Here is a 6,159-nt window from a genome sequence, read left to right as displayed (position 1 = left end):
TAGATAATTATGTAATCTCTAAACAGAGACAATTTTATTTCTTGTTTCACTGTCTGTATACATTTTACTTTTACTTTTTTTCTTTTTGTGTTAGCTAGGACTTCTAGCACAATGTTAAAGAGAAGCTGTTCCAAGTGGAAATGCATCTGGTTTCTCATCATTGAGTATGATGTTAGCTGTAGGTTCTTTATAGATGTTCTTTATCACGTTGAGAAAGTTCCCCTATCTTCCTAGTTTGCTGAGAGTTTTTACCATGAATTGATTTTGGATGCCAGGATGCATCAATCTTTTCTCTGAATCAACTGATGTAATCATATTTATTTTCTTCTGTAGCCTGTTTATATGATTGTTTACATTAATTGATTATGACACGTAGTGCCCATTTTATATACCTGTGATAAATCTTACTTAGTCATGGTGTGTGATTCATTTTATATATCATTGGATTTAATTTGCTAATAGTCTCTTGATTATTTTTGCATCTCTGCTAATGAAAGATATTGGTTTGTACTTTTCTTTCCCTAGAATAGTCTTTATCTGGTTTTGGTATTCATTTTTAATGGTGGTATTTCTAGTTTATGAATTGGTACTTTTAACAATGCAGTGGCTTCTATTTTATTCAATTAAATTCAATTTGATTTAATTCAGTTTGATTCAACTCAATACCATCATTAAATAATGTATAAGGCAGTCTGATATGTACTGAGGCAGATGCAGAGATAGATAAAACAGATTCCAGACTTCTTGAGTTTGGCAATCAGATTGAATATGTTTCCTTATAATACCAAACTCTAGATCATATTAGTTGGTAAAGAATGAAGAAAGTTCTTTAGAAGCCATTTAACAAAGCTTTGGTAGACAAATGAATTTACGTAGGTACCTTAGAATATTTGCTCTTATCGAGCATGGATTTTACCTATTTTTGTTTCTATTGTACCCCGGGCTAGAAAAGCTCCGTGTATATAGTAAATACTAAGGATATTTTTGGTGAACAAAGGAACATATTGTTGGCATATTTCTGGATGATGATCTGTAAGTGGTACTCTGAATCTGGGCATCTTTAACTGTCCTCAAAATGTTTTTAAGTGCTAAATTTAAGTGTTTTTCTTGATCATTTTATGTATAACTTTCATCACAACATGTTTTTCTTGTGACAACATTTTAATATCATTGCAGTTGCCAACTATGAAGATTTTTAAAATTATGTTTTGATATATTTTTATTGATTCTGAGAGGGGATATAAAGAAAATCATTTTATTACCAAATTGCTCTATTTCCTCATCACAAAAAGAGGTTCATTCTTATTTTGATGATGTTCTCACCTCAGCTCATACACAGTGCCGAGTCCTTTCCCTTCTCAGTGAAGTCACTTACAGAGAGCACAATCCAATCATTACGTGCACTACCTTAAGTTAAAAAAAAAATGCCTTTTCACTGACCTATGCTTTTTTTTCTCCCCAGAATTATGCCTCTACTGTTCTCTTAGTTTCTTTGCTGTACAATAAAGTAATTGGCTACATGTACCTATTGGGGACTTAAAATATGGCTAGTGCCACAAATTGTAACTATAATATTTTCCATATATTGGGTTAAATTAAATGTATTATTAAAATAAATCTTACCTGTTTGTTTTACTTTTTAAAATGTAGCTACCAAGAAATTTAAAATTACGTATGTGGCTCTTCACATATTTCTAATGAACAACATTGGAGACTCTTAAGGGTACGTGGAGCTGTTATTCATTTATCATTGGAAGTAAGCTAATTATGGCTTTTAAATTGCTCACAATGCATCTGGCGATATTTTTAGATGCCCAGAGAAGAGCACAAGCTGCTTGTCATTCCAACATTAATATATCCAACAGACTTTTCCAATAGTGGAAAGAATTGATAACAAATTAGTTGAACTTATTATTCATAAAAGAATATGATGCTGATGAGTCAAAAAAACGTATCTAGGAAATGTAGATGAATTGTTATTGGTCCCTAGGTAGGCAGTTTTGCCTCCTTTAACATGAGTATTATATAATGTTAGACTCTACTCCTAAGACTTCTGCTTTGGATCCTAGACCACATTCAAGTTAGTGTAGTTTTTCAGCTACTTTTTAAATAGAGGAGGCAGCTCTTGTTTTACTTTTTAATTATTCTCATTATTTGTACTAGTAACCCTTGAAACCTAGTAAATTATTTCTCTAGCCTTGATGTTTGTGCTTTCTACATTCTGTGGACCATCACACAATTTTCCAAAGTTGTTTTTTATCTCAGCAAGTTTCTTTTGTATAATTTATGCCTCATTTATATTTTCACATAAATAAAATACTCTCGCTCATTCATCATTTTGATTGCCTTCCTCTGAAACATTTTCTATGTTTAAACTATTCTGGATTAGAGAAACCTCACTACAGTCCCTTTCTTTCCTGAAAATAAGTGCAGATAATCTCCATTTCATGATCAGCCTGTATTCCAAAAGGACAAGCATCGTGTTGCAGCTTGAGTTTCCATCCCAAGGTCAGCTCACTAATTACATTGCATACAAAGTAGCATGCTGTGTCAATAATGCTACAAACCTAACACTGCATACTAAGAAGTTTCTATGAAAAATCAATCATGCATTTTCAATTTTGGGTGGCAGTAATTCATCTTCTTTTACTGTGATGGAATAACAGAAGTATCCTCCTCAACCCTCCTATCCTTTGGAAAGAGGAATGGAAAATCTTCCTAAATGAATTATTGTAGGTCCTATGGCCAATTTAGGGATTTGAGCACTGAGGAGATAGTGATAAAAATCTTACTTTTTGGTGTTCCTACTGTCCTTAATTTATTTTCTTTGCTTTTCTTTCTTTCTTCCTTTCTTTATCTTTCCTTCCCTGTCTCCCTTCCTTCCTTCCTTCCATTACTCACTTCTTTTATTCACAACCATTATCTATGGCTTAGAAGTAAAGTGTTTGTTCATTATACAAAAATACAGTGTTAACTATTTTCCTTTATTCTCCATTCCTAAAACAAACACAATCATATCTATCTATGTATTTTGGCTTTTATTGGCCATTTGTAGAGATGAGTGAATATTATTCTTTCCTATTTGACATTACTCTTTTGTTTCTACTTAGAGGTGCATATAGACGATGAAGATAATCTTAGTGCAAAAGGGACTTAGTGCGAAAGGGACTTAAAGAACATCAATCCACATTTCAGTGGAAAATCAGTCTCAGACCACACTCTTTATCTTATTAGAGGAGCTGTACCAAAGGCACTAGCTCTCAATGAAGAGAAGCTCTTTTTATGGAAGCCCGGGTAAGGGCTAGTGAGGACTGCCTATGTGAATGACCAGGACTGGCAGACGAGCTGGATAGAGATGGAACAGCTTCTAAGATTCTAACATTTCCTCTTTCTCATCTTTTTTTTTTCTCTTCTGTCATTGACTAATGGACAAGCTGACAAGTGGAGAGAAAATGGATCAATAAAAGGAAATTTTAGGTAGTTTGAAGTCAATGAGTAAAAGGAAGATTAAAAATTTTCTAGGTTTTTTTTCCTATTTTGGATGTATATTTACATTATCTCAGATTTATTTTCCTTGACAAGCTTTATATATGCTTTGTATAATCACTTTATCTTTTTTGAAAAGGTACTTTAGATATTCCATGGTTTATTCTCAGTTAAATCTGTGCTTATGGAATTCAACTTTATGGAAGTAATATTCATTGAGTTGCTATTACTACAGTAAGTACCATTTGAGAACCTGAAAGAAGGCTGAGATGTTTAAACTAGGGTCCTTGGAGTTCATAAGCTTGTAATTCATATTAAAAACCATGATTCTTCTTGGTACATTCACTTTATGTGAAAAAAAGTGACTCAAGGTCATTTACGATACATGAAAATAAACAAATTTAACAGATTTCTTTTCTACAGAACTTGATTGATTTCTTAACTTGATGTATGTATTGTAACGCTCAAAAAGGGAGATGCGGTATTCATTATTTAATGATATTATTAACCAGAGAATTCTTTTTTAAACATCACTTTCAAGAGTTATGACATTAGGAATACAGTATGAAAAATGCTAAAATATATTTCAGTTCAGTATCATTTTCCCATGTTTTAAGGCTGTACATGCTCTAAAATATAAATCTAAGAGCTCAGAGGAGAAGGAAGTTTTTAGTTTTTCATATTTATTCTGCTGAAATTTCATTAGCATTACTTATTTGAAATCAACCTAAGAATTCACTTGAAAAAAGGAATTCGGTAACAAAACAATATGTGATACTAACTTATCTAGCTACCGCCCTCATTTTTATAAGTGAGATACCTCAGGTCAACACATTTCTTGAAATAATTTGTTATAGATCTTATAACAAGTTAGAGGTCAGAACCTGAGTCCAGTGTTCTTTCATATTCCCCAAACTACAGTGAATATGTCCAGTAAAGCTTGGATATAACAAAAATGGCCTATAATACAGATCTATCTCACAGGCAACAGAACTTAGCTCTTCCCAACCTGCTACACAAGAGTATTTGCCTATTTATTTCATTCATATCATTTTCTCTCATGTTAAATTAAGGAGCTTCATCAAAATTTCATTCCTATGCAAATTTCTTCATTAGAATAATATTTATGCTATAATATTTTCCTTTTCTAATTAAATTGATTGTGCTAATGTATGTTAAGTAACTTTGGTTTTGCTACATATTTCTATTGTTCTCTATTTCTTATGGTTCCATTTCTCATTATTGGTTTAAAATTCTCATGTGTTGGCCATTGTGAGGGAATACTGTGATTACAGACCAGAGTGAATCACAATTATGTTTGAATTCTAACTCCACCATTTGCTAGGTGTGTGACCTTGGGCAGCTAAAAGCACTTCTTGTTAGCCAAAATTTTCTTGACAGAAGTATAATGTCACATCTGCTTACTTCATGAGTTACCAAGATGTTCACAGCTTGCTCTGTTCAGACCTAGGGCAAAGTTTTCTTTTTGCTTTTGCTCTTGAAGCTGTTCTTCATTTCCCTCCCTCCCTTCCTCCCTTCTTCCCTTCCCTTCCCTCCCCTCCCATCCCCTCCCCTTCCCTCCTTTCTTTCTTTCTTTCTTTCTTTCTTTCTTTCTTTCTTTCTTTCTTTCTTTCTTTCTTTCTTTCTTTCTTTCTTTCCCTCCTTCCTTCCTTCCTTCCTTCCTTCCTTCCTTCCTTCCTTCCTTCCTTCCTTCTTCCCTTTTGGTTGTAGCAAACAAAACCTCAAGTATCCTTTGGGGATGTCATTTCTCAACCTGCATTGGATTAGATGCAGTTTCTCCAGTGGCCAATCTATATTATGACTCAAAGTTTAAGACCATTTTTTGCTTTAAGGACAATAACTTTATGACAGTAGATTGGAAATCACAAATAAAATGGGCTGTGGAAACACAGAAATTTTAAGAAATGTTATTTTTTATAGTTGTCCCACATCGAGAGATGCCAGCTCTTTTGTTTTCTCACTATCTAGAAATCCGTATTAGATTTCTGCTACTAACTTTTATTTCTAAAGATAGCATTCATCAGATTACACCTCTCCTCTCTTTAATTTTACTCCAGGAATGAAATGGACGTTCTTACTCATCATACCATAAGCATCCAGGTGAATGATTGCTCACTTCTTTCATCTAATGAGGAATTGGCTTTCTTGAGAATCTCAATGCAGTGTACCTCCAACCTTAACAGACTGCTGTAAAACACCCTGACCATTCTTTAGTATAAGCACTGAAGAAGACAGTATGTTGACCACGAGGCACCTGGCCTGGCTCATAGTATGCCATCAAGAAATGCTAATTTTCTATTTCCTCTTTTTCAAAGAGTTATTTCAAGAAAGAAAGGAGAGGAGAGGATGTTACAAATTCCATGTAAATAAAATTTGTCACTAATTCTGTGAACTAATTGATATCATAATTTGATTCTCTTACCTCTTTTTAATCTCTCTATTAGTCCATTTTTATGCTGTGAATAAAGACATACCTGAGACTGGGCAATTTACAAAAGAAAGAGGTTTAATAGACTCTCAGTTCCACATGGCTGAAGAGGACTCACAATCATGGCAGAAGGTGAAAGGCACATTTCACATGGTGGCAGACAAGAGAATAGAACTTGTGCAGGGAAACTCCCCTTTATAAAACCATCAGATCTCATGAGACTT

The 6,159-nt window shown here is 33.6% G+C and overlaps 1 long non-coding RNA gene across 1 annotated transcript; it reads left to right on the top strand.

The window, feature by feature from the left end:
* Positions 1 to 456: 456 nt before the first annotated feature.
* Positions 457 to 5,899, top strand: LOC105372740 (uncharacterized). The gene is made up of 2 exons (XR_001755096.1): positions 457 to 1,723; positions 5,565 to 5,899. It is a non-coding gene; the product is annotated as an uncharacterized LOC105372740 (long non-coding RNA).
* Positions 5,900 to 6,159: the final 260 nt, after the last annotated feature.

The sequence above is a fragment of the Homo sapiens genome, chromosome 21, assembly GCF_000001405.40.
Source record: "Homo sapiens chromosome 21, GRCh38.p14 Primary Assembly".
Lineage (NCBI taxonomy): Eukaryota > Metazoa > Chordata > Mammalia > Primates > Hominidae > Homo > Homo sapiens.
Note: the sequence above shows the minus strand (reverse complement) of the source record. Positions and strands in the feature narration are given on the sequence as shown.